Source organism: Homo sapiens, chromosome 7 (assembly GCF_000001405.40).
Source record: "Homo sapiens chromosome 7, GRCh38.p14 Primary Assembly".
In the NCBI taxonomy this organism is placed as follows: domain Eukaryota; kingdom Metazoa; phylum Chordata; class Mammalia; order Primates; family Hominidae; genus Homo; species Homo sapiens.
In genome coordinates this window covers 156521733-156549458 of record NC_000007.14, presented here as the reverse complement: position 1 = coordinate 156549458, position 27726 = coordinate 156521733, and the positions used below count along the sequence as shown (strand labels likewise).

Below are 27726 nucleotides of genomic sequence, written 5' to 3'. Positions count from 1 at the left end.
GGAAGAAGAAAGGCTTTGGTGAGTCCTGGTGTCTTCTTGCTGCTTCCAGCCAAGTACTGGGAGAGAAGGAGCCCAGGAGGGGACTGGGCGGTGTGCGGGCAGATGGATGCGATGGCAGGTGCTCTCGGTCCTTGGTCCAGTCATGTGAGGCCTCCCAGACTTGGATAAGAATGTGATTTGCCTGTCTTTTAAAAATCGATTTTTCAGCTTTAAAAATATATAATGTGGTTTTTCACCTTTCGTTGGTTTCAGGGGTTGCAAAAATCCCAGGCTGTGGCTTGTTGGTTTCCGCAGGCTTTTGCTGCAGGCTAAACCTTTTACCTGTCAGAGTATGTGTGGAGGGTTTCATGTCTTTACCCTCTATTTATCCTGGTGGAATTTGTGGAACTTTATAAATGTATGGCTTGCCTTGATGATGTCTTTCATTAGTTTTGGAAAATGTTACCGATGATCTCTTTAAACAGTGGTTTTTCTGTACTCTGGCTTTGGTTTCTCTCTGGATCTGCAGTTTGAGGCATGTTAGGTCATTTCCCTGAAGTCCAGCAGGCCTATCATGCTGTCTTCTGCAGTCCCCACCCTTTTCTTCTCTGTGCTTTAGTCGCGACATTTTCCATTGACCTGGACTCTAGTTCATGACCCTTTCTTCTGCTGGGTATCATCTGCTGTTAAACCCATCTGTTGAGTTCTTAATTTCAATTATTGTATTTTCCAGTTCTAAAATTCCCATTTGGTTCTTTTTAATAGATGTCAATTCTCTGGTGAGATTTCCCATTTTTCATTATTTTCCCCATCATTTCCTTGAACATATCCATAAACTATTTTAAATTCCTTACCCGGTAATTTCAATATGTGCATCAAAGGTGGGTGTATTTCTGTTGACTTGTTTCCCCTGACTTTTGGTCACTGAGTTCTGTCACGTTAATGTGCCTGGAATTCCCCTGCCCGCCCTGAATTCTAGACCTTGTATATGAACAGTTGTGAGATCTCTGGGTGTTGTCTGCTCCCAGAGAGGGTTCATGCTTTCTGTGCGAGGCAGATCAAGGAGGCGATGGTTGCCTTTCCCTCGCTGTGGTCTAAGCTGACTTGAGGCTGGGCCGTCAGCTGGGCTCTGTGTGCCTCTCCCCTCCTGGGGTCTCAGCCAAAGGCCGTGGGGATCAGCAGGCTCCTCTTCTCGGCAGGTGCTAATCTCCAAGCCTTGATTTTTCTAGAACTTGCTAAACATTCGCTACTGTGGCTTGGGGCTTTCTTTTTGGCTTGGTGCCTTTCCACCCCTTGCAGCCTCATAAGGCAGCGTATGTGTGAAGGAAAATGCTGACACCCGCCAGGACTGGTTTATCCCTCCCCTTCTCAGGGGGAACCTGGTCCCTCGAGTCTCTCATTTTAGTTCTCCATCCACATGAGCCTGCCGAAGCCTGGGTGGGGTCTCTGCCTCTCAGTCGTGGCCTCAGGACCGGCCCTTTGTGCAGACCGCAGTCTCGCTCTATATCAGGCTTGATGGGAGAAGCTGCAGGACGTGGCCCCCTCTCTGGGGAGCTTACCCTTCTCCGTGGTTTGGCCGTTTCAAGTCCTGTGGTCTCTGTGGTGCTTCAATGCTTTCAAACAGATCTTCGGGGTGTTTTTTTTTTTTTTTCCCCAGATTTTCTGTTTAATATTGGCAGGAGCACTGGCTCACCACAAGCAACCTCCTACATCAGCAACTTGAGCTTTTTCCAAATAAAAAAAATTTAAAACATCAATAATAAATAACTGTCCTCTTGGAAGCTGCAAGGGAAAAGCAACCCTATACTGATTTGAAGAATTAGACAGGCACCTAGCAGTGAGCTGAAATTTCATCATGCCCTGCTGTGAGTTTTTGATTCTTCCCCCGACCCTTTTTTTTTTTTTTTTTTTTGGAAAAAAAAAAGTCAGGTTAAGAAAGTTCCTTTCTATTTTGTATATTGTTTAAACACATGAATGATTGTTAATTTTATAAAATGATTTTTCTGAATCAACTGAGGAGAGCATATGTCTTTTCTTCTTTAATCTGTTAGGTTAACTTAGTAGTTACTTTGTAGATATTCTGGTGTTGAACCATTTTCACTCTTGGGTTAAATCCCACGTTGCCATGATAAATGATCTGTATACACGGCTGATGTGCTAATATTGAGTTTGGAATTCTTGCGTGTGTGAGCAAGAGCAGGGATGGCAAGTGACGTTTTCCTGCATTTTCCCGCTCTGGTTCTAGTGTTAATGTTGCTGGCTGCGTTAAACGGGTCGGACCCTCCTCTGGCCCTGCTCGTCTGTGAGCCTGGTTTACCTGGTACCTCGGGGATGCTGTGTCATGGTTGTCGTGCTGTTTTCAAACTCCACTACTCTCAGGTTTCCTTTTTTTTTTTTTTTTTTTTTTTTTTTTTTTTTTTTTGAGATGGAGTCTCGCTCTGTTGCCAGGCTGGAGTGCAGTGGCGCCATCTCGGCTCACTGCAAGCTCCGCCTCCTGGGTTCAAGCAATTCTTCTGCCTCAGCCTCCTGAGTAGCTGGGATCATAGGCATGCACCACCACGCCCAGCTAATTTTTGTATTTTTAATAGAGATGAGGTTTCACCATGTTGTCCAGGCTGGTCTTGAACTCCTAGCCTCAAGTGATCCACCCACCTCAGCCTCCTAAAGTGCTGGGAATACAGGTGTGAGCCACCATGCTCAGCCAGCTTTCCATTTTTGTATCACCTTTGGTTCATAGAGTTATTTAGCTAAATTTGAGCTTGATCATGTTTTTTTTTTTTTTGGCAGGGGGTGGGGCGGGGGGTGGTGTGGTTGGTAGATTTTATCTGTCATGGTAAATGTTTGGGCCTGAGAGGGAACCTCAAAACTGATGCTATAATGACATCTTGGCAAGAAGCCCGCAAGAGGACATTTATTTATTTTTGAATGTTTTAAACGTTTTTGTTTGGAAAAGGCTCAAGCGCAGCAGGAAGGTTGAAGAATGCTGTGAGGAGCACACGGGTGCAGATAATCGTTGGTGAGCGTTCTTGCCATGTTGAACTGATGTGTGTACAACTTCTCTGCTGAACTGAGAAAAGCACATTTTGGATGTTGTCACTTTGCTCCTTAGTGCAACATGCACCTCCAAGAGAGTCTTTCAGAGCTTGGAGAAGACCCAGTTTCTGATGGATGAGAGATCTCGCCGTGCAGCCACCCCTTCCCTTCATCCTCATCATCATCCGTGTTCACTTCCGTGATTTCTAACTGCTGGAAGGACAGCAGTTGCAGCACAGGAGGCTTTCCAATGATGACGGACCGGGAGGCAGCCCTCCCGTGGTTTTCTGCTGCTGTGTCTGTTTCCTGGGCAACAACAGCTTTGTGCCACGTTTCTCAGTCTCCTCCCCAAGAGATCCTGTGTGCATTTCATCTGTTACTCTACAGGGAACACCTGAATTTAAAATTGTTAAAACGCTGTAGTAATGAGTTTTCTCAGGCCTGTAACTGATGTCAGGAGACCTTTCCGGCCCATTCACGAAATGTGTCAGATATAGAATAAGTCTAACACAAAATTCACAAATATATGCTTGGATAAAAAGGCCATCATACTGAGAAAAAAAATATTACCTCAGTGCCAACAAATTAAAAATAATTTTATATCCAAATTGTTGACTAAGGTATTCCCAGGTTTCTCACATCCAGGTTTTTATGCTAAAGTTCTTTATAAAAAGAAAATTTTTAATTTTTTTTACTTCGGAATACACACCTGTTTGCTTTACTCATTTGAATTTGATGATGTGTTTTCAAAGAGTGATTGAATGAAACCTGTACTTATCTTGTGTGTGTTTTCTGGTGTTCTGTGTAATGAGCAGGAAGCCTCATTAGTATTGAATGCATATGCCCCCGTATTACCTGGTGTGATCTCTGGCCAGGCGGTGCATGTCCAGAGGCCTGAGTAGGAGGTGGGTAAACCAGTTCCCCGATTCTGGCCTACCACCAAGGCTTGGTCAGACAGAGTCAAAACAAATACTTATTAAATTAAATCAAATAAGTGGGTTCTGGTAGTTGGGTTGGTTGGAGCGTTTACTGTGCAAGGAACAATGGAAATGCAGATGGGGTCTCTGCATTTCCGTTCACTTTTCTCCCAGTGTGGAGTGGTAGATTGCCTTCCTGTTCCCTCCTTTACTCCTCCTTAGACTTCGGGTTATTCACATGACTTCACACATGTGACTCTGCAGCTCCACCTGCTGAAGGGGTGCTTTGCATTTTCCTGCCCTGGACTTTGGATTCAGATGTGTGAGTTGCATTGACGTATGGAACGGGGCATAAGCCTAGAACTCAGAGGCCTTTTTTCCCCCAGCCTCTTGCACTTCTTCCTTTGTGTTGGGGACTTGCCCAGGATAGCCCACTTCCTTTGAGTTGGGACCTGGCCCAGGATAGCCCACTCTTCCCAGGAAGAGACTGGAGGAGCAGAGGTGAGCTGCTCTAGCTGAACCCAGCCTAGATCGGCTGACCCCTAGCTGACCTTCAGGTGTGTGGGAGCCACGGAAGCGCCTTCTGTGTGCTGTGCTGGAGTTCTGTGGTTGCCTGGGTCTGTGCCTACAGGTAACTGTTAGTGTTAACCGAGGACGCCTTGAGACAGAGAGGCACTGTCTTTGTCTTAATGTGATACAAAATGTGTTAACTGACAATGCGACAGGCTTTCTATTTCCTTTTAATAGTCTTCCTAATGAAAATAATCCAAGAACTGTAAATATGAAAAGTTTGACCTCAGACTTGAGGCCTTTACTTTACAGAAGAAGAATGGGCTCGTGATTTAAAGTTGGCCTGAGTGGGGCTGGAACCCTGGCCCTGGAACGCCTGGAAGCTGCAGACTCTCTTGTATGATGAGAAAAGGCGCTAGGACCACCCAGTTGTGTTCTGCACATGGAAAGTCTAACTCAAAAAGCAGCCTCCCTTGCTGGAGTCCGTCCGTCTATGGAGGAACCGTCAACGTTTTAAATAGTTTAGTCTTTGTGCGCGGTTGGCCGTGTGCTGGTTCCTGGGGCCCCAGGTTTGACCCGAGAAGTGGCAGGGCTGTGCTATCTCCCGAGTTCCTAGGCACAAGATGTCACTATTGTGCTGACTGTGGAGATAACGTTCTTGTTGAAATTTTAATGCCTTTAATGGTTTGCCTTTTTAGCCCAGAGTGAACTAATCAGACAGCCTCTGCTAGGACATAAATCATAGCATATTTCTGAGGAAACTCGGGTGAAATAAATCAAGGAATTTTTTTTTTAATCAGCTCTTCAATCACTCTTTTTAGTCACGTAGAAAAATGGTCCATGCTGTATTTACAGTTTGATGGTAAGGAGATGTTTAACATCAATGTAGGAGATTAAAAATGACAAGTTATATGGTGAAGAGTGTGAAAAGGTGTTTACACTGACATGCAATATCTCGGCTGATCTACAACTCAATAATAGATACCATAAATCTCACCGCAGGCCCATGAGGCTGCGCGCGGGAGAAGCAAACATGACGGGTCGGCGGCTCTCCCACCCGTGGGCAGGCCTCGCTGCCCAGCTCCAGCCAAACCTCGCAGAGCCACCTCGCAGCTCTCCGGAGCGGGCCATGGCGCAGCCTCCCAGCGGCCACAGGCAGCGCTTCTCACATGTGCGCGTGCCCGGTGCAGGTTCGCCCACTCTGCCTCTCCTTTCAATGAATTGGAATGCCTTCCTGATTCTGTGAGTGAAAAATCAACCTGAGAAAATAATGTTTTATTCCACCTCTAGTCCCAAACACATTCTAGTTCTTTGTTTAATCAAACAAAAATCTTCATCAAAAGTGTACTTACCCTACTTTTTTAATAGACATTACTTTTTACATTATTATTATTATTATTATTATTATTATTATTACTATTGAGATGGAGTCTTGCTCTGTCGCCCAGGCTGGAGTGCAGTGGCACCATCTTGGCTCACTGCAGCCTCCACCTCCCGGGTCCAGGCGATTCTCCTGCCTCAGCCTCCCAAGTAGCTGGGATTACAGGCACCCGTCACCACACCCAGCTAGTTTCTGTATTTTTCAGTAGGGTCAGAGTTTCACCATGTTGGCCAGGCTGGTCTCGAATTCCTGACCTCAGGTGATCTGCCCTCCTCGGCCTCCCAAAGTGCTGGGATTACAGGTGTGAGCCACTGTGCCTGGCCACATATTGTTTTTAATTGACAAATAATTGTGTATACTTTTGGGGTAAACTGTGATGTTTTGATCTAGGTAATACATTGTAGAAAGATTCAATCAAGCTAATTAACATATCCATCACCTCACCAACTTATTTTTTTGTATGTGATAAGAATGTTAAAAATCTATTCTTTTAGCAATTTTGAAATATACAGTATGTTATTATTAACTGTGGTTGCCATGAAGCACATTAGATCACTAGAACTTCTTCCTCCATGCGAAGGGAGACCTTGGATCAGCATCGTCCTCTCCCCACCACCACAGCCTCTGGGGCAAAAATCACCTTTCTGCTTCCAGTGTCTATGAGACTGACTTTTTAAATTTCACTGTAAGTGAGGTCACACAGTATTTCTTTCTGTGCCTGGATATTTCCCTTAGCATAATGTCCTCCTGGTTCATCCTTATTGTTGCAAATGACAGAATTTCCTTTTATATTTTCTTAAGGCTGAATAATATCCCATTGCGTATATATGCCACGATTTTTTTTTTGAGCGGAGTCTCACTCTGTTGCCCAGGCTGGAGTGCAATGGTGTGATCTCGGCTTACGGCAACCTCCACCTCCTGGGTTCAAGCGGTTCTCCTGCCTCAGCCCCCAGAGTAGCTGGGGGTACAGGTGTGCGCCACCACACCTGGCTAATTTTTTGTATTTTTAGTAGAGACGGGGTTTCACCATGTTAGCCAGGATGTTCTTGATCTCCTGACCTCGTGATCTGCACGCCTCAGCCTCCCAAAATGCTGGGATTACAGGCGTGAGCCACCATGCCCGGCCATATACCACGATTTCTTATACATTCATCTGTCGATGGACACTTAGGTTATTCCAAATCTGGACTATTGTGAATAGTGCTGCAATAAACCTGAGAATGCAGGTATCCCTTCTGCATACTGATTTCATTTCCTTTGGGTCTTTCCCCCGCTGTGGGATTGCTGGATTGTATGGTAGTGCTACTTTTAACTTTTTGAGGAACCTCCATGCTGTCTTCCAAAATGGCTGTACTAGTTTACATTCCTACACACAATGTGCAAGCTTCCCCCTTCCCTACATCCCTGCCAACACTTGCCATTTGTGTTTTTCGTAATAACCTTCTAACAGGCGCGTGGTGATATCCAGTGGTTTTCATGTGCACCTCCCTGCTGACTTGAGAAGTTGTGCATCTTTAATGTACCTGTTGGCTGTGTGCATCTCATCCTTTAAGACGTGTCTGTTTGGATCCTTTGCCCATTTTGTAATCAGGTTCTTTGTTTTCTTGCTGCAGGGTAGCTTGAGTTCCTCATGTATTTTGGATGTTTAGCCCCTCACCAGATGGATGGTTTACGGATATTTTCTCATTTTGTGGTTTGCCTCCTCACTCTGTCGATCGTTTCCTTTGCAGCACACATTCCAGTTCTTGCAAAAGAATTGTAGATGGTGGATGGTTTTGGATTTTGATTTTATTTTAAAAATGAGTGATATTTATTATATAAAACATTCGATGTAAAAACTTGACAAACCCCAGGATTATTAAAATGATATGTAAAGTAGAAATAAGTTTACTGTAAGTGAAGCCTCAAGGGCTCGCTTACAAGCTTTTATGCTTTAGCCTTTTAGGGCCATCCTTTCCCCATTTCCCTTTTCAACAAAAATGAAAATCCTATAAACAAAATCAGCATTTACTTTCACTTGCACACGTGCACATACGCGCGCATGCACACACACACACACACACTCTGGCATGTTTCCTGGGTCACACTGTGTTACAGGCTGATGTTTTCTGAATTGGGACGGAGAGTGGTTGGTATCAGCCTATTCACATTCTCTTGGCCGCCGTTGCACTTGATGCCAATAGGAAGGAGTTATGAGAGAATGATCGAGGTTAGTAGTAGGTTCCGGGTATCAATACTTTTTAGAATTTTTGATTGTATTCGGTAAGTATTTATTGAGTACCTATCATAGACACAGCCAAATAGTAGCTGCTGTGAAGAATGTAAAAGCCATGAAGCCACGGCTGTTGTTCTAGGAGGTTGTAATTCGTTGAGAAAGGCTATAGTATAGTGCTAATCAAATCACATTAGAACCAACTAAGCTGGCTTAAGCCCATCAACAAAATAAAAAGATATGACCATAGAAGAATAATGACTATAAAAAAGGATTTTTTTCTAATAGCACATTATAATGTTTTAAAACTCAACTTCATAATAGCATACAATGTAAGGATTTCCATAGCATATCACTTCTATCCTTTCCCAACTCTCCTCCACCTGAAAATTCCACTTAGCACGGCGGGAGCTGGTGATGCCAGTGGAACCCCAGGGGCTGGTGTTTGGCGTTCTGCTCTCTGGCTGGCCTTCATGCCAGCGCCCTGCCACCTGCTTCCTGGCCTGCCACACCACCTTGGGAAGAAGCCTTCTGTGCTTCTGACTTTCTGCTTCGTGTGGCTACTATGTGAAACCTGGGGTCTCCAGGGGCCTGCTCCCACAGGCTCAGTGAGCAGAGGGAGTTTCCCAGCCTGCCCATGACTGCCCCCACCCTCTCCCTGCTTCTCATGGGGTCTTCCCAGGTCTGGAGTCGCAAGCTGGTCCTCATGTCTTAGCTTGTCCCATCTATGCTGTTAGCTCCATTTACCTTGGGTTGTGATATTATTTCCCAATTTCCTGCATGGTATTTAATAGCGAAACATTAGAGAAAATCCTGTTAAAAACATAGAAAAACACGAATGCCTAGGATTCCCGTTATTATTTATTACTATTCTGAAAAATCCAAGCAATTGCAAGAACAATGTGGTAACTAGAATAAAATTTTAAAATGGAGGAAAAAAGGAATCAGTATTTTAAATATTAGGACTGAAAGTTCTAAAAGGAATCAAGTTAAAAATGATTGAATTTGATTGCTGGATGTGTAATAACTACACAGATGTCAAGATTATTACTATATTTGGGAACAACTTGTGGGTAATACAATGAAAGATAAATCCTGCTATGATAAATCTTTGTGTGATGTCTAGGAATGCCATTAGCCACGTCTATCATTTTCAGACCTATTGACTGCACTTTTAAGGGCCCTGCCGCCTGTGCGTTGCCCTGGCAGGGGCGACCTCGGCGTCACATGATGCAGACACCACACTGCTGCCTGGCGGCTCTCCTGCACCTCCCTCATGTCCCAAACCGATGGGTCCCGGAGCGAAGTGGCTGACCCACACCTGCCACCAATTCTCTCTCTGCTGAATTTGAATGAAGAGACACAGAGACTATACAGGCTAGTTCAGTGGTGATGGTGGGGGGGCGTGGCACGGAGGTGAAAATTCATGCAGAGTTGGTGGGAAAATGGACCACAACAAATCAAATCCCCGTGCCAACTAAATTCACAGAGAAGCAGACACCTCGAGCAAGCCGAGAAGCTGGTCTGAAGAGAGACACTCAGGACCAGAGTGGATTCACCAAGCAGAGCAGAGACTGAGACGTTGTGTGTGTGTTGCTGGGTGGAGGGGGAAGAAGGGGAGAGGTGGGGAGAGAGAGAGGGACAGAGAGAGAGAGAGAAGGAGGAGGAGGGAGGGGAGAGAGAGGGGAGGGAGAGGGGAGAGAGAGAGAGAAAGAGATAGAGAGAGGGAGAGAGAAGCAGGGGGAGGGAGGGGAAGAGAGAGAGAGAGAGAGAGAGAGAGAGAGAGAGAGAGAGAGAGAGAAGAGCTTTGGCCCTGGCTATCTTGTTCCAGCCCCTGGGGTGCTTGTCTATATTGTGTGTTCTGTCTTTGAATTCCTTGAGTTCCATGAGGTATATTCTACAATAAAATCTCTTTTTCTTGTTAATTTGAGTGGCTTTTCTTGTTTATTGAAGCCAAAGATTTTCCTGCCTAAAATAATATTAAGAAGGAAAGTATAGAACATATTAGAGGAAAGCAATCATTTATTTTAAGAAAAGATAGAAACAGAATAAATGGAGAAGCATTCCATGTTGATGCAGTGGGAGATGAATACTATGGAGATGGCAGTTTTCCTAAAATTAATTGTTAGGACTAAAATAATCAATGAAAATGGGATTAAGCTTCCTCTTCTTCATGTTTTTGAGATTGCCAGAATGATTTTAAAGTTCATCTGATGGAATAAACCTAATAAGAAATAATGCTAATAATAACAATGAACGTTTACTTAGTGACTACCGGTACTAGATTCTTTTTAACTAATTTCCATGTGTTCAGAAGAGAATGGCCATGAATAAACATGACATTTTAAAAAAGAAAGGGCGGTGAGGAGACACAAATGCTACAAAATATTAAAGCCTCTATAAAGGTGGTAATCAAACATTTGTGGTATCTGTTCAGGAGAATAAGTTCAAAATCAGAGAGTCTCACAAGTGCTCATTTTGAATTTATTTATCTTTATATTATGTAAAGGAAAATGTCATATATTCTATATGTTGCAGTTGGCTACTAATTTTAAATATTGTCTTAAAAGGTCAACTTAGATGCTGACTTTATTCTCCCAAATGAATTACATTTAGATGAGGTAAAAATGTAAAAAACATCAGGCCATAAAAAATGGAAAAATACTCTCATGGTCTCCCCCAAATCTTCTCTGGGCCACACATTTCATTTCAGCTCAGCCACTTTTCATTAATTCTGATTCCCAGACTTTTCTCCATTCTGACTACACCATAAAGGGACTTTACCCCTCGATGAATGACTTTAGCTATCATCTCTCGAACTGTTTTAAATAGGCAAATGTCATTGAATTATCACTCATTTGCAAAATGGAAAGTGACTTGGAGGTGGATTATACTGCAGGCAGAAAGACCAGCCAGGAAATTACTGTAGTCCAGGAAAGCCAGTGGTGGCTTGGGTTAACGTGCAGATCATGAACACACAGAAATATTCAAGAGTTTGTGAAGGATGGGACATGAGGTTCTGGAAGAGGGAGGAGCTGGGCAGCTGGGAGTAGTGGTGCAATTCACCAAGACAGGAAAGGTGCAGAAGCAGGCTGGGTGGAGAAGCTCATGTGTTCATTCTTCGACATGCTGAGTTTGAAGTGCTCTGGAATACCCAAGTGGAGACATGTAATAGACAGCTAGACATGTGTGTTTGAGTTTCAGGAGACCAGTCTTGAAAGGAAATATAGATTTTGGAGTTACTGGCATATAGATAATAACGGAAGCTTTGGAGATTGAGTGGCAGTGGTTGAGGTGAGTAGTAGAGAACCCACAGAGCTGGGCCCCCTGAAAACACACACTCTGGGACCTTAGCCGTGCAAGGTAAGAGCTGCCATGAAGCATGCAGTGGCAGAGATAGGGGCTATTCGTGGCCCCACTAGCAGGAATTCCTGTTTGCCAAGGTGAATTTGGTGGCTGATGTTCCAACAGCCAGCAAGAAAAGTCATGGGTGAGCCCCTGATGTGACTCTGTTCCTCAAGGGACCTCTGACCACCTGGAGACAAACTGGCTTTATTGCACCCTTTCTGTCTGGGAGGAATGGCAGCTTGGCCTCATGGTAGCAGTCACCCATCCTGGGTGCTGGTTTTCTGTTCCTTCTTCAAAGCTTCAGGCAATACCACTGTCTGAGTATCAGGGGCACAGGCAGGGACTCTAATGGAACCTCAGGGAATCACAGGGAGGGAGGGTGTATTAGTCTGTTCTCACGCTGCTAATAAAGACACACTCGAGACTGGGTAATTTATAAAGGAGAGAGGTTTAATGGACTCACAGCTCCACGTGGCTGGGGAGGCCTTACAATCATGGCTGAAGGCAAAGGAGGAGCAAAGTCACATCTTACATGGTGGCAGACAAGAAAGTGTGTGCAGGAGAACTATCCCTTACAAAACCATCAGGTCTCGTGAGACTTATTCACTATCACGAGAACAGCACAGGAAAGACCCGCCCCCATGATTCAATTACCTTCCACTGGGTCCCTCCCATGACACGTGGGAACTATGGGAACTACAATTCAAGATGAGATTTGGGTGGGAACACAGCCAGACCATATCAGAGGGGCAGGAGGGCCCCTGCCACAGGACCTACTGGAAGCATCATGCACCTGTCCACGTGCTTGAGGCCTGATAGAGCTGGGGGGTGTTGGCTGAAACCCCAGCTCGAGGGCAGTACTCTGTGAGGCGGCAGGCTATGCCCAGAATCTGAGCTCTCTCTGTGGCACTGTGTTCCCAAGGGAGCCCAGGAACCAGGGGTGGAGAAAGGAGTAGCCCCACTTTCATCCCTCCTCTTGGCCCATTGGGAGACTTGGTGCTTCCTCTTCTTGCCACTGTTCATCTGATGGAATAAACCTAATAAGAAATAATACTAATAATAACAACGAACATTTACTTAGTGACTACTGGTATTAGATTCTTTTTAACTAATTTCCATGTATTCAGAAGAGAATGGCCATGAATAAACATGACATTTTAAAAAAGAAAGGGTGGTGAGGAGACACAAATGCTACAAAACATTAAAGCCTCTATAAAGGTGGTAATCAAACATTTGTGGTATCTTCAAGGCTAGTTCTAGTCCCCCAAGAGTGAGAATTCTTGCTAGTGGTCATAGCTGGGGTCCTACTGGATGATAGGCCAACAGCTCCCTCTGTGCCATTTTTGCACAGGCTGGCAGAGACTCTCGAGCTGTGCGGCAGCTGTGGGACCTTGTGCCTCCAGCCTCCTTCCTCATCCTGCAGCAGGTCAGGTCTGCAGTTCAGCTGCAGGCTCTCCCCTCCTGCTCCTGCTCCCTCTCTCTTACTCACAGGCACTTCCCTGATCAAACTCACACACTTCCAACTCTACTTTTGATTCAGTGTCACCGAGGCTGTGAGCTGACCCAGCTGGCTAGGTTGACATTGGGACATAGTTTTGTATCTCTGAGATGTCCTGAAATGAAGGAATTGCTTTGAATAATAGGAAGATATTATTCTTCTTCCACCAAACAAATTTGAGGAAAGTTTGCTCTGGGGAAGATTTTCAATGTTCCATTAAGGAGCATCATTTGAAAAGATACAGGGAACATAAACCCTTAAAAAACTCACAGTTGAGGGAATCTCACTGAAGCAGAAAACAGGCTAAAACCTGGGGAGGGTCTTAACAAGGCTGAAGTTTGCCAGGCATGGTGGCTCACACCTGTAATCCCAGCACTTTGGGAGGCCAAGGCGGGTGGATCACGAGGTCAGGAGATCGAGACTATCCTGGCTAACACAGTGAAACCCCGTCTCTACTAAAAATACAAAAAATTAGCCAGGTGTGGTGGCGGGCGCCTGTAGTCCCAGCTACTCTGGAGGCTGAGGCAGGAGAATGGCATGAACCTGGGAGGCGGAGCTTGCAGTGAGCCGAGATCACGCCACTGCACTCCAGCCTGGGTGACAGAGCAAGACTGTCTCAAAAAACAAAAAAAACAAGGCTGAAGTAGGGCAAGAACAGGCTCCATGCTGCATGGATGGGAAGTGCACTGATGGGGCTGGTCTAATCATGAGATGCAAAATCAGATCAAATGATTGAGCAGCAGGAGGAATTTGGGCCTCCTTGAGCCAAAAATACTTCCATCAAAACTTTGCCTCTTCTTTTGGGTTTCTACCCCAGTAACTTACAAGTGTTTATCTGGCTTTTGACTTTGTCTGGATTCTTGAGTTTTAATTTTGTGGGTAAGGCCAGAATGCTTCCTTCAGGAAGGGCTTGACTCCAGGGAGGTAGGACAGAGCTGTGTCCTGCAGGTGGGTTAGACTGAGGACTGTTCTGGAAGACTCCTGAAGATTCACCGAGCCTCCCGTGGGAGCCCTTGGAATTCTCGTATCAGACACATGTTACGTTTTCCACAATTTCCTGGTGAAATGCAAAAAGACCCCTATGTATCTCAGAGAAGTAGCTGCATTGACATCCACTGACACCTCAAGAGGACTTGGGAGGCAGAGGACTGTTGATATCAGGTCCTGAAGGGGAAAGATACAAAAGCCCACATTTACCGATCTCACACCTCCCCACTCCACCTGAAGCTTCAAGCTGCTTCTAAACAGCGAGGATATCAACCCCAGAGCTCTCAAAGCGAAGTCTTGACTAACTCAAACTTTGCCTTTCCTTTGAGAAGTTAGAAGCCCTTCCTCAATGAACAGAATTTGTCTTTATAGTGTATTTGTGAAACGGAATGTGATGATGCATGATCCCCATTTTATAGTTGAGAAAGTCAAGTCGTCAACAAGCCGAGTCACTCTTGGGAGTCTTGGATTTTACCCAATGCTCTGTCTCCACTAGGCGATGCTGTCTTGTCACATGTTCAAATCTAGTGCCTCAAAAGAAAACACACTTAAAAGAAGAAAGCACCGAGGCAGAGGAAACATCGGGAGGTGTTCTGGAATACAGCATGATACGTTTTAAGCAGATTAGGAGGATTCTCTGCTAATGAGGGGAATTCCAGGCGTGCCCAGGAAACATCTTTCATAACCTGCCTTTATGTTTGGCCTCATGCGAAGTTTTGTTTTGTTGCCAGAGCATTTTCTAGGGTCATGCCAACTCTAATGAAGGTAGCCCGTGATCTGAAAACTTTGACGGTTGATGAATCTTTCTGATGGGAACACAAAGGCACAGACACTCAGAAAATCCTCAACACAAACGATGAAGGTAAATAGCATATCATTTCCTAAATTGCTTAATAGTATTTGGTCATAAATATCTTGGTAAGTCTTAAAAGATTTGCAAAGAGTTCACAGGAAAATCAGGAACCTGAAACTTATTGCTTCAAGCAAAAGTCTCTTTTCCTAGTAAAGAAACCAGGAGATCGTCTTTTTTTTTTTTTTTTTTTTTTTTTTCCTGCAGACTAATTTCAGCCCAGAAGTAGTAACTTCTTTATTTCACCATGGTATCAGGTTTGTTTGATTTTCAAAAAATACATTTTAAAAATTTTCATCAAGTCTACAACCAACTTGTTTGTAAGTGGTCTGTAACCTTTTGGGCAGAGAGGCTTTCTGACCCACACTGGCTTTGCTGCACCTGCTGAGGCCAGTTGCGTTGAATGAAAGGCTGTTAGAGGCACACTGGTGGGATCTGAGGCCTCACTGCCACTCCCTAAAGGGACACAAGGGTCTTTCCCGACATGGGAATCACATGTCCAGGTGGAAGCTGAGGAGCCAAGCCTCTTGGCTGAGGGTTCCTGTTTGGGCCCTGGCCCAGTGCCGGGAGTGGGATGGTGGAGTCAGGTCGGCCTTGGCCAGCTGGTCTTGCTGTGGCGCTATGCAGTTCTCTGGGTTTTGTGTAACAGACCATATATCAACTTAAGGGCATTGTTATGAAAGCAGAGACTGCTGCCGACTGTGAGTGTCCGAGACATGGCTTTGAAGAGTTCACATCCCGGGATCGATCTCTTCATTCTCTTAGAGATCTGCATTAATAAGGTCTGTGTGCATTTTGCCACATTTTTTAATGTAGAACCTGGTTTATTTGTAATGAAGCAGTGAGAACATGGTCTGTTGAGTGGAACTCAGGTCTGAGGAGCCCTCTTCCTTCTGCCTTCACTGCCCCAGGTGAGGTCCGGCCGAGACAGAACACAAATACAGGGCCCATTTACAGAGGGACGGGTGAGTTTAGGGAACAGACACGAGAAACTGAGGCACCCAGAGAGCACTGGAAAGGGTTCTGCTCCCCAGGGCTGGCCTGGCATGGAGGGGACAAAGTGTGCGGAGCCCAGGGAGGGCCGTTCGCATGAGGCCCAGTCTTGGATGCGGCACTTGGTCGTCTGCTGCCTGTGTCTCCCGTTGGACTGGACTAGCAGCCCGAGGTCCCGGGGGTCCAGGTGATGCGGCTGTAGAGGTGGTCCTAGGGGCACAGAGCCATCAGAGGAGGGTCAGCATGGGTGGAAAGAGGATGCCAGGCCACAGAGGAGGGTCAGCACGGGTGGGCAGAGGAGGACAGGCCACAGAGGAGGGTCAGCACGGGTGGGCAGAGGATGCCAGGTCACAGAGCTGATGGGAAGGATGAGGCACGGACGCCGTGGTGGCCTCAGGAATGGAATGATGGCCCCGTGGGCCCATTTCTAGCGTCCTTTGCACACCTCCTGTGCATTTGTCCCCACAGATAAACTAGCACAGGGACTCAGATTCTGCCTAAAGAAGCAGCGTTCTCCACCTCAAAAGATTTTTGCCTGGACTTCAAGGTCCCTTTCTGTTCTCAAATCTATGAGATCCTGAATTCTAATCCCAAAGCACTTTTCAAGTGAGGCTGTAACTCACACAGGTCCTGCAGCTACACTTGCAGGTGTGAAACCCTCTCATAACACCCCAGTGAAAACTGTTTGCGTTGCGTTGTGGCCTCTGTTCCATCCTCTCAGCCCAAAAACAAAATGCTAATGAAGACCACTGAAGAGGAAGTCATCACCATTTAGAAAACCAGCATGGTATTTTCTTTTTTGCTGAAGGACTTAATTATTATGAGAAATGATAATTAAAATTGTAGTTTACCTTGGAAGTATTGAGAGATTTTTAGTTCTCTCATAAACTTATGAGCAATTAGATAGGAAAGAGTCTCTTATAATGACTTTTAGTAAGAAGAGAGAGTAAATTCAACCTGGTACTTAAACAAAATTAAAAAAATTATTGATTTTTCATCCATATAAATGAACATGGGGCTAGGGAGAGCCACCCCCTTCCCATGTTTTCCCCTCCTTGTGTTCCAATGTGCCTGAGCCCCCTCATCATTCATTCACATGGGCTGCTGCTCCCATCCTTCAAAAAAGGGAAATGTCATCTGGTTGGGCTGGAGCAGCTGCAGTTTCATGTACATTTTGGAAGGCGTGGACTGAGGCTTGTCTGTGTTATTTGAGGAACATGTTATGGATGGAATGTTTGTACCCCACCCCCCAGATTCCTATGTTGGTGCCCTAACCCCCAATGTGACTGTGTTTGGAGATGGGGCCTGTGAGGAGGTGATAAAGGTTAAATGATGTCATCAGAGTGGACCCTGGTCTGACAGACAGGACTAGTCCCTTCTAGCAAAAGGAAACATCAGAACTCTCTCTGCCAGGTGAAGACACAGCAAGAAGGTGGCCATCTGCAAACCAGGAGAAGAGCCCTCACCAGGAACCACCCTGGCACTTGGACTTCCAGCCCCCAGGACTGTGAGAAAGTAAACATCTGCTGTGTCATCCACTTGGTCTGGGCTACTTCATTGTGGCAGCCTGAGGTGGCTAATACAGAAAGATAAAGAAGTTCACAGAGTCAGATGCAGATAAAGTGGAGATAAAAGAGAAGAGACTTCTGCTCACTGGGAAGGATATGGGCTCCCTGTGGAAGTAAGGAGCACACATAAAAAACCATGGAGATGCTAACCACGGATCATACAGTTTTCTATAGAAACCCTTTCATTTCTCAGCCGAGACCCCCTATCTAAGTAGGCCCCAGTCTCTGATCTCTCACCTTCCCACACAGGCCCCTGCTGCTGCACTGGCATAGCGGAATCTGTTTCCACATCTCGCCATATTGGTCCTCTTATAGGCCTTGGTGGTTACACGGCCCAATTCATCCAAGGCAGAGCAGGCTGCATTTACAACAATTAATAAATTCTTTTCTGTTTTTCCACTTTCATTATTAATCTGATGAATAGTTAACTATTCCTGTACCTGTATGTGGTTCAAACCTTACTCCAAGAATCCAGAACTGTGTCTCTGTTTACCTCTCTAAATGGAGATGTGTTCAATTTGTCCATATTCACCTGTTATGGGCTCAGTCATGGCCCCATAAAATTCATATGTTGAAGTCCTGATCCCCAGGACTTCAGAAGGTGACTGTGTTTGGAGACGGGTCTCTACAAAGATAACTAAGTTAAAGTGAAGTCACTGGGATGGGCCCTAATCCAATCTGACGGGTGTCCTTATAAGAAGAGGAGATTAGGACACAGACATGCACAAGGATGACTATGGGAGGACACAGGGAGAGGACGGCCACCTACAAGCCAAAGAAGGAGGCTTGGAAGGAACCAGCCCACTGAGACTTTGATCTTGGACTTCCAGCCTCCAGAACTGTGAGAAAATAAATTTCTGTTGTTTGAGAGCCCAGTCTATGGAACTTCATTATGGCAGTTCTAGCAAATGGATGCATTATCTTACAGGAGCCAGCTAACAGGGAGCATGGCATGTCACATGGTCCCTGGATATATGCCATCTTTGGGAGTTACTCAGATTGGTTCATTTAATCATTTATCCAACAACTATCTATGATATATCTGGCACTAGTAACATACAGTGAACATTACAGCCAGAGGCCTCTGTGGGGCTTAGTATTTTTAAACTTGGTATTTTTTAGTGACTAACTCACATCAGGCAGCACATAATATGGACTTGTACTTAACCACATTTTGTGAAAAATCAATCTGAGGTCATTTATTATAGCCATTTTAAATTACTATTTAAAAATAGAACCATATATAGGTTTATAAATGTATTTTTCATTTTAAACCAGTAAAAAATAGGGCAATGGGTCTCTTTATCTGTCACTACATTATAAGTAAGCAAAATACTTCTAATCCTAACGTTTCAGGTTATTATCTCAAACACATCAATCTAGTTATTGTGAGGAGAAAAACATGGCCCTTAACACACAAATGCACACACGCAGCTTGCGCTATATACACACTTTACACAGCATCTACTGCCTAGCATGTACTAAACATGAATGCACACTTTGCAAACACATACATGTACATGCATATGTTTTCACTTTTTGTTTTCAGTATGCAATAATGTCATGTCAAAATAAACTTGCTGAGTATGTCTGAAATAAATAGCAGAATTTTAAACTGTCCATGAAATTAATTTCCTAGAATATATTCCAGCCCTTTCAGCCTGTGTAGCATGGAATTTTCCAGTTAGTCCTTTTCATGAGCCAGGTAACAAGGTTGAATTGGTGCAAGCTAGGAGGGAGATAGGAAGCCAAAACAAGGGGCCCGGCTCGGCTTGGTCAGGAGGTGGGCGACTGGTAGCACCTTGAAGCAGATTGTGTGGTGGGGGAGCTGGAGTGGAGGGACAGCTGTGGAGGCTGCGGGTCAATCTGAGGCTAAAAATGAAAGTATGCAACAAGAAGACCAGGCTGAGGCTGCAGCTGGGGACAAGGCTGGCCAGTGGCCGTTGCTTGTGGACGGCGCTATTTGCCTTGGAGCCTTCTGAGGGCTTTCTGAAATGTCATTCTCAAGGGCAGGCCTTTGTCTGGCTTGAAGCTGTTGCTCCCTCAAAGGCAGTGGCTGATGCAATTTAGAGACTGATCAGCAAGGAGACTCTGCATATCTGGACTCAAGCGGAATTGCTCTTAGTTCCTCCTTCATTATTAATAATTTAAGAAATTAAGGTGTGTGCACATCTCCTCTTGCCACTCTTGCATACACAATTAGTTGCAGCAGAGCTCAGGGTCTTCTCCCATCATTGACACATCCTGGTACCTGTGGCTGTGTGCCAAACATCATGGATGGACTGTTTTATCTTTTTCTTCTACATGAATGGGTTCAAGGGTAAAAAAGAGGAATAGGACAGTGGAAACCCATGTCTAGCTGCTGCATACCTTAGTAGTTGGCAACTTGTTGCCGTGGCATTTTTGCTGAAGCATCTAAGATGAATTAAGGATGTTATAGATGTCACGGCACCTGGTCCTATAGAGCTGCAGCATTTACCTTTCCAAAATCAGGAAGCCTTCCAAGGTAAACACAATGCCACTATCACACTGATATGGTTTGCTTTGTGTCCCTACCCAAATGTCATCTTGAATTGTAGTTCCCATAATCCTCCCATGTCATGGGAGGGACCTGGTGGGAGGTAATCGAATCACGGTGGTGGATACCCTCATGCTGTTCTCATGATAGTGAATGAGTTCTCATGAGGTCTGATGGTTTTATAAGGGGCTTTTCCCCCTTCGCTCTGTACTTCTCCTTGCTGCTGCCGTGTGAAGAAGGATGTGTTTGCTTCCCCTTCCATCATGATTGTAAGTTTCCTGAGGCCTCCCAGCCATGCTGAACCGTGAGTCAATTAGACATCTTTCCTTCACAAATTGCCCAGTCTTGCATGTCTTTATTAGCAGCATGAGAATGGACTAATACATACATCAAACAAAATTCCCAATTGCCATCCCATACTCAGTCTATATTCACATTTTGCCCATTGCACCCTGGGGTTGATTGATCATTCATTTTTGTTTCGATTCTGTGTCTGGTATTGTGACTTTGGACAAATTCACTGGGCCTCATTTTTTTCCTGTTACTTGCTAAATGGTGATAATAATGTTTGTGTTTCCTGTCTTAGAGGAATTTCGTGCAAATATGAAAAAACAGATATGGAATCCCTTTGGCAGACAGAAAGTACTATTCTAACTTCAGGGATTATTTTTATTTGAAGATGAGATTTCTTTTTTTTTATTATTATACTTTAAGTTTTAGGGTACATGTGCACAACGTGCAGGTTAGTTACATATGTATACATGTACCATGTTGGTGTGCTGCACCCATTAACTCGTCATTTAACATTAGGTATATCTCCAAATGCTATCCCTCCCCCCTCCCCACACCCCACGACCGGCCCCGGTGTGTGATGTTCCCCTTCCTGTGTCCATGTGTTCTCATTGTTCAATTCCCACCTATGAGTGAGAACATGCGGTGTTTGGTTTTTTGTCCTTGTGATAGTTTGCTGAGAATGATGGTTTCCAGCTTCATCCATGTCCCTACAAAGGACATGAACTCATCATTTTTCTTAGTGATAAAGAAAGTGGAACTTCTCACACTAGCTGTCACTGCAATGGAGATGATATATGTTGAAGAGCTGCCTGTGTGTTGGGGGACTCAGGTAGCCCACACATTGCTTCACAGAAAATGATCCCCCATGCTGGAGGGGCACAAAAATGGAAGCCAAGGAAAAAAACCACAGCTTCATGGATGTTGGCTCACAGCATGGTCTGATTCCTGTTACCCTGAACAAACCATCTGGGTCTGAAGGGTGGTGACAGAGCACCTCAACACTTTTGTTCAGGTTCATCCTTCTAGAGCTTCTCCAGTTTTGCTTCCATCAAGAGAAAGCCTCCAATCACACTAGCCCACAATGGTCTCCCCAACTTGAACACAAGTTCTTCACTTTAACTCAGAAATGTGACATTTACCATAAAAGTTTACCTTATGAAATCTGGCACACCTCAAATTCTGCATTTTTTAAATGTTCAGGGTGTCGTATCTCTGCAAATGAACTATCAGCCCCCAAAAGGCAAGAGGTAGTTCCATATGCACTTTTTATGTCCCAGAAAGTCTCCATGCTGATATGAGTATGTGCTAGTTACAGCTCATAAGTATTGCTCAGTAAGTGAGAAAGCCCTTCTTTTCATTTTTGAATAGTGAGCAAAGAATGGGAGAGGAACTCCAATCTCATAAGTAATTTTGATTAGTGTCATCCTTAAAAGAAAAACCTAAGGCTTTTTAATGACAAAATGTGGCATAAGGCACCTGGCTTCTGTCATCACCGTTCTTCTGGGAAATATTTTGCAATCTTTACTTCCTTGAAGAATTTGACCTCAGTTTAAAAATCAGAGGCATTAAGGACAGGAGACCAAAGTCTCTGTGGAACCCTCCCACTGGCAGAGTTTCAGAGGAAGAGCAGCCCGGCCAGGTAGAAATGCAAGATTCAGGATAAGACCAAGGTCTTTTAATGATTAGCTCGGCCCAACAGCACACTTAAATGGAAAACCAAGACAGTCTCTAAGCTGTGGCCAATCTTTTCCCTGTTTTGCAACACCTCTTCCTGTTATTTTATCCTGTGTCACTCACCATCTGTCATCATTAACATTTACTGAGCACTAAGTGGGAGAGACAGCCGCACATTTGTGTGTGGGGACTGAGTGCTTGGATTGGGTTTGAGTATTGTCCACAGCTTTCTAACTGCCCAGCAATCTTAAGGCTCCATTTCCTCAAATGGGAAATGGGGATAACAATAGGGCCCCTCTCGTAGCTTGTTGAGATCATTAAATGAGATAATGTGGGTGAAATGTTTAGTATAGTGCCTGGCACATAGTAGATGCCCAGCGAACATGAGCTGTTTTCATTATTTGAAAATGAAAAGAAGAGTTTTCTTACTTACTGAGTACATGTGTGGCACTGGATTGTAGCCTGAAAGGGGCTATGCCAAGCATGGCTGAGCTAATTACAAAGTAGAGGGGAGCCAAATGGACTCAGGAAGGTGGACTATTCATGGAGGATGAGGGGGAAGGTGGAGACCTGAGTTTCAATCCTGGGACCGCCGATTATCCCTGGTCCCTATTTCCTCACTCTCAATGTAAAGGAGCAGATCTGAGGAGTGGTTCCCAAATGTCTTCTTTGCAACATTAGCCTGTAAGATGTTTCGTGGAAAAAGAGTCTCATGATCAGATAGACTTGGGAAACGCCAAACATTTTATCTTCCTCTTGGAGAATCACAATGTCTTTAAATGTCCTGAAATAGAGAAACCTGTATAATTTGGTTAAGCTCAGAATTTTTCAAAATTATTTGCTTGTTGATCCCTGACCTCTCTTGAGTGAGTGAGTGAGTGAGTGAGTGAGTGAGTGACTATGGTATCCTTTGACATTTGTGGAGTCTAGTGTCTCATGACGCTTACTTTCAAAATTGTTGGACGGAATGATCTGTAAAGTCCCTTTAAGAAGTCTATTTTTAGCATAATCCAAGGTTAATGATAATGATTCTAGCTTATCTCCCTCATAATTCTTTTTCTTTTCTTTTCTTTTTTTTTTTTTTGAGATGGAGTCTCACTCTGTCACCCAGGCTAGAGTGCAGTGGTGCAATCTCGGCTCACTGCAACCTCCACCTCCCAGGTTCAAGCAATTCTCCTGCTTCAGCCTCCTGAGTAGCTGGGATTACAGATGCCCGCCACCACACCTGGCTAATTTTTGTATTTTTAGTAGAGAAGGGGTTTCTCCATGTTGGTCAGGCTGGTCTTGAACTCCCGACCTCAGGTGATCCGCCCGCCTCAGCCTCCCAAAGTGCTGGGATTGTGTCCTGTTTTAGACGTCAATGTGTACTTGGGCCCCTGTAAGTGCCTGGCCCAGGGTAGGCACTTAACTTAAAACCAAAATTGGAATTAAAGTTTGTTGTGAAGATCTAAAATCTAAACTTCTTGTATGGCCTCCGAAATTATGCTACTATATCATCTTCAAACATCGTGTGGGTGGCTGGATTGGGGAATCTTTTTTTTTTTGAGACAGAGTTTTGCTCTTGTTGCCCAGGCTGGAGTGCAATGGTGTGATCTCAGCTCACTGCAACCTCTGCCTCCGGGGTTCAAGCGATTCTTCTGCCTCAGCCTCCCGAGTAGCTGGGATTACAGTCATGTTCTACCATACCAGCTAATTTTGTATTTTTAGTAGAGATGGGGTTTCACCATGTTGGTCAGGCTGGTCTCGAACTCCTGACCTCAGGTGATCCACCTGCCTCGGCCTCCCAAAGTGCTGGGATTACAGGCGTGAGCCACCATGCCCAGCCTCATAATTCTTTTTCTGATTTTCTTATACACTGAGTATCCTTCCTAGTACTTATGTCTTCCCCATAACTTCAAGGTAAGCTGCATTTCCATTTTATTTTTATTTTTTTACCTTTCTTATGGTGCTGACAAGAAAGTTCCTAGAAAGTTAAGTTATACCATCTTTCAATCTCTTGTTTAGATTTTGCAAAAGTATATGTAATATTAGGGCTTCTAAAAAATAGAATTATAAAGCTATTCTGAAACATAAATGGAATTATTAATATTCTATGGAGATGAAATTGGGACACAAAATTAGCATCAGCAAACAGCCTGTGAATTGAAAATCCACTTGTGTGGCCTGCCACATGGCAATTGAGAGCAACAGCGGGTAATTAGAATAATACTTACTTTGTTCTTAGGAGTCAGAATTTCGAGGGGAAAAGAGCAATGGATCTAGTTATTAATAAAGGAAGTTATTAATAACTAGACCCTTTATTAATAAAGAAATTAATAAAGGAAGTTATTAATAACTAGACCTTTTATTAATAAAGAAATTAATAAAGGAAACTATTAAAACTTCCTTTAGCTGGAAACACAGTTTTTAATGTAAAGGTTTAACTAGTAAACTAGTGTAATCATCTTTAAAAACTCATGGATTACCACAACATATTGGAGATTTAAATTACTCTAATTTTTACAAAAAGCCAAGAGGAGAAGCTGCCAGGTCCTAAGGAGCTGACGGCGGAGTCCAGTCCCAGCACACGAGCCCGACGTCAGCCTTGTTGAACCAAACACAGGGAGTGCTCCAGCCCCTACATCTGCTGGAGCCGAGGGGTGACCAACCAGGAACCTGATTTTTTTTCTTCCTTAGTTGTAAAACTTTGTCAGAAGTATGAACTCTGCTGTTATTTTTGTGATAGGAAACACTAGCCAGTGAGCAAAGTCCTGTCTTTCTCGTGTTACCGAGAATCTTGCAGTTTGCCTGGGTCATGATTCTGGAAGCAAATTTCATTTTGTCTGTGAGTTCGCCCAAACCAAGTATGCTTGGGGTGGGCTGGCCAATGGGGATAGAGTCCTCCCTTGGGCACTAAGGAAATAAATGGGACAAACCTCGAAGCCTCAGTTTGCCTGAATAGAAGGTGGGGAGAATAAAAACTCCAGGGCTCCATGAGATGGGCACAGGCAGCTCGCAGCTCGAGATGTGGCAAACGTACTTGGTAAATGCTAATTATCATGATGATGATGATTAACTCGGATAGAAAGAAAAACAAAAATGCAATAGGTAACACACTTTGCTGAGCAGAGGCTAACCTCTTTCTAATAAAAATGGAGGCCCCCCAAATTATGTTTAGTTGAAATACTTGCTTATTTGAATTCTACATTCTCTATAAGGAGAACTCAGTGGTATCCCAGCCCTAATAAAGATGAAAAGAACATTATATGTTAGCCAAGAAATATGAACCAAGGAGCATCTGCTAAAGAATATGTTTTTTTGGAGACAGGGTCTTGCTCTGTTGCCCAGGCTGGTGTGCAGTGGTGTGATCATGGCTCACTGCATCCTCAACCTTCTGGGCTCAAGTGATCCTCTGACCTCAGCCTCCCAAGTAGCTGGGACCACAGATGCCTGCCACTATGCACAGCAATTTTCATATATATATATTTTTTTGTAGAGGCAGGGTTTTGCCATGTTGCCCAGGCTGATCTCAAACTCCTGGGCTCAAGCGATCCTCCTGTCTCGGCCTCCCAAAGTGTTGGGGTTACAGGCGTGTGCCACCGCGCTCTGCCAGAACACAGAATATCTCCATGTAAGTTCTTCCTGTAGAGGTGAGTTGCGGAGAATCGAGCAGAGAGAATCCCCGGTCGCCTGTTTGGGCTTGGGAGTGTGACCCGGTAGACACCTTCCACCAAGGGAGGTTGCCCTGTGTTCCCGATGGAGTGTGGTCAGCACAGTACACGTTGTCACTGTCATTGCTGACGGCGTCGTGAAGTGCATGTGGCCTGCTCTCTGTTCCTTAACACTACCCTCACCTGTTCCCACTCTTGGAGATTTTTCCTTCTGGGTTGGCTGCCCGGTGACCACTGGCTCCCTCACTTCCCGCCTTTTATTTCAGAAACGAGGTCACTGGCTCGGTCTTCTTCAAGGGATTCTGCCACTCACACTGCAAGGACACAGACAGCGGGATCAGGCAGGAAATACATTTGTGGGAAGCCACTCTGATTAAAGAAATCGCACAACTTCCGGCGGGAGGCTCCTGGGTTGAGTTCCGCCTTCCGCCTTCCGCCTTCCGCCTTCCGTCTCGAGCCTGTGTTTCCTGCCGTCTCTCCTGCTCCAGCTTTCAGGAGGAGGCTGGAGCTTCTTGTCTTCTCTCCCATCATTTTCACATCTTTCTCATTTTCCTCTGCTCTCCATCCAATTTGCTCGAGTTAATTAAGCTTCAAGTCTATGCTGAGTACAGTGCCTGGTGCTATCCGAGGATATTATGATTCTTATGACTATTTATGATTTAGCCTGAGCAGGACAAATATAAATGAACTAATTAATAGGAAGTACACGGCACTATAGAATCAAGTCCTAGAAACTGCACGGCATTTATCGCCTCTAAAACTGGATAGGGAAAAAGTGGTGAGCATTTTCTGGTCATAGAAAAAATAAAAACGCTTACATTCAGCTTTATTCATTTTGGCACTGGAATGTGTATTTGCGGGGGTCCGGGTTACAGTTATAAATTGGACATTCTGCCTTCTGGCGGAGAGGACACAAATCCTGGAGACATCTGTCAAGGTCTTGCAGGACCTGTGCCCCTGGATCAGCGGGGCCGCCTCATTTGCAAAGTTCCATGTCTACCTGGTCCTCAGACGCAAGTCGTGATGCCAAGAAATGCTGATGGCGTGTCAGGGCCCGCCTGCCCACAGCCTGCTTCCGTAGCACCAGGCATTATTTCTGCTCTTAGGCCACCCATGGGTCCCCCTCCCACCAAGGAGGGCCCAAAAATGCAGATGTCATAGCTCGTGGCACACGCACTGTGCAACACAAGGCGTCATTAAAAGCTCGGCATCCCGTGATGCTGCCTGCTGTGCTTACGGCTCGCTCTGTGTCTGTTTGAAGATGGCGTCGTCATTGAAAGGGCCCTCACCAGTCGCCCGTCACAGGAATCCCCTTTCCCCTCCTAGAATAAGCCTTTCATTTGCTGCATTATTTCTGTGATTGTTTCTTTGCACAGTCATCTTTCAGGAGACCACTGCTCAGGGTGATGTCTCATGGGTCTGGCACAGAAGAGACACTAAGAAATGTGGGTGAAAAGGATGCATCCAGTACTTCACCAACCCAGAGAGGTCGCCTGACGGTCAAATGAGATAATATGTTTGAAGGGATTTGAAATTTTAAAGATACATGTAAATAACTAACATTTATCGAGCACTTACCATATGCCATATATTGTTCCAAGCACGCTACAATATTAATCGTTTAAATTTTATTAATACAATTACCACCTGTTTCATGAGGAAGCACTTTGAAAATAAAAAGCAAACTGATGGCAAGGTGTCATTTTCACGTCTTAGAAATTCTAACTTTCTGCAAATATAATTGTAGAAAAGCAGTCATTGTTACTCAAACTCTACCAGGATTTAATACATTCTTGGGAGATTTGATGCAATTTTCTTCAATCAATATTTTGCATATTTACTAATTTCCCACAATGTAGTTTCTTGACCTTTATAGCAATTACTACTCCTGGAAAGATTTTTATTTGAAAGTCTTTTCTAAAGTAATGAATTTGTTTGTGGACTCTCCTCATCTTTATTTCTAGAGATAAAAAAATACTTTAAAAAATCTTTATGGTTGTTGGTTTCTTTGAAAGTTAGTGCTGCCGAAAGGATAAGGCATGTTTGATATTACATCAAGAAGGCACGAACTTAACAACTTTAGGTGCGTGGTAAATAGACATCCCATGAGGGACCCATAGGCTTTATTTGAGTTTCTGTCTCTATTTCTTGATAAGCTGTCTTGAATGGATACAATAATTAACAACACAGAATGCAGTTCTACTTCCTAACATAATGATTTACTGTTGTCAAGATACTTTACAAGGTCACAGAATTACTTTTATATATAGCCCTAGGATCAGGCAGATAATAAACACTCTTGATGTATTTCTAC

General features: G+C 44.4%; 3 long non-coding RNA genes across 4 annotated transcripts in view, besides 2 other annotated features; 1 reads left to right on the top strand and 2 right to left on the bottom strand.

Annotated features, from left to right (window-relative positions):
• Window positions 1-27726, top strand: part of RNF32-DT (RNF32 divergent transcript) — a 168437-nt gene that overhangs the window by 91077 nt on the left and 49634 nt on the right. The window lies entirely within an intron of this gene.
• Window positions 8358-8968, bottom strand: LINC00244 (long intergenic non-protein coding RNA 244). The gene has a single exon (NR_024119.1). It is a non-coding gene; the product is annotated as a long intergenic non-protein coding RNA 244 (long non-coding RNA).
• Window positions 8815-9314: an enhancer, noted in NCBI's record as "H3K4me1 hESC enhancer chr7:156332839-156333338 (GRCh37/hg19 assembly coordinates)". NCBI's record gives its function as "activates a minimal SCP1, AML or CMV promoter by ChIP-STARR-seq in primed H9 embryonic stem cells {active_cell/tissue: H9 hESC(primed)}" and the evidence as "EXISTENCE:reporter gene assay evidence [ECO:0000049][PMID:30033119]".
• Window positions 9315-9816: an enhancer, noted in NCBI's record as "H3K4me1 hESC enhancer chr7:156332337-156332838 (GRCh37/hg19 assembly coordinates)". NCBI's record gives its function as "activates a minimal SCP1, AML or CMV promoter by ChIP-STARR-seq in primed H9 embryonic stem cells {active_cell/tissue: H9 hESC(primed)}" and the evidence as "EXISTENCE:reporter gene assay evidence [ECO:0000049][PMID:30033119]".
• Window positions 24149-25833, bottom strand: LOC112268012 (uncharacterized). Its single transcript, XR_002956590.2, has 3 exons — window positions 25596-25833; window positions 24678-24817; window positions 24149-24562 (listed from the first exon to the last, which is right to left on the bottom strand). It is a non-coding gene; the product is annotated as an uncharacterized LOC112268012 (long non-coding RNA).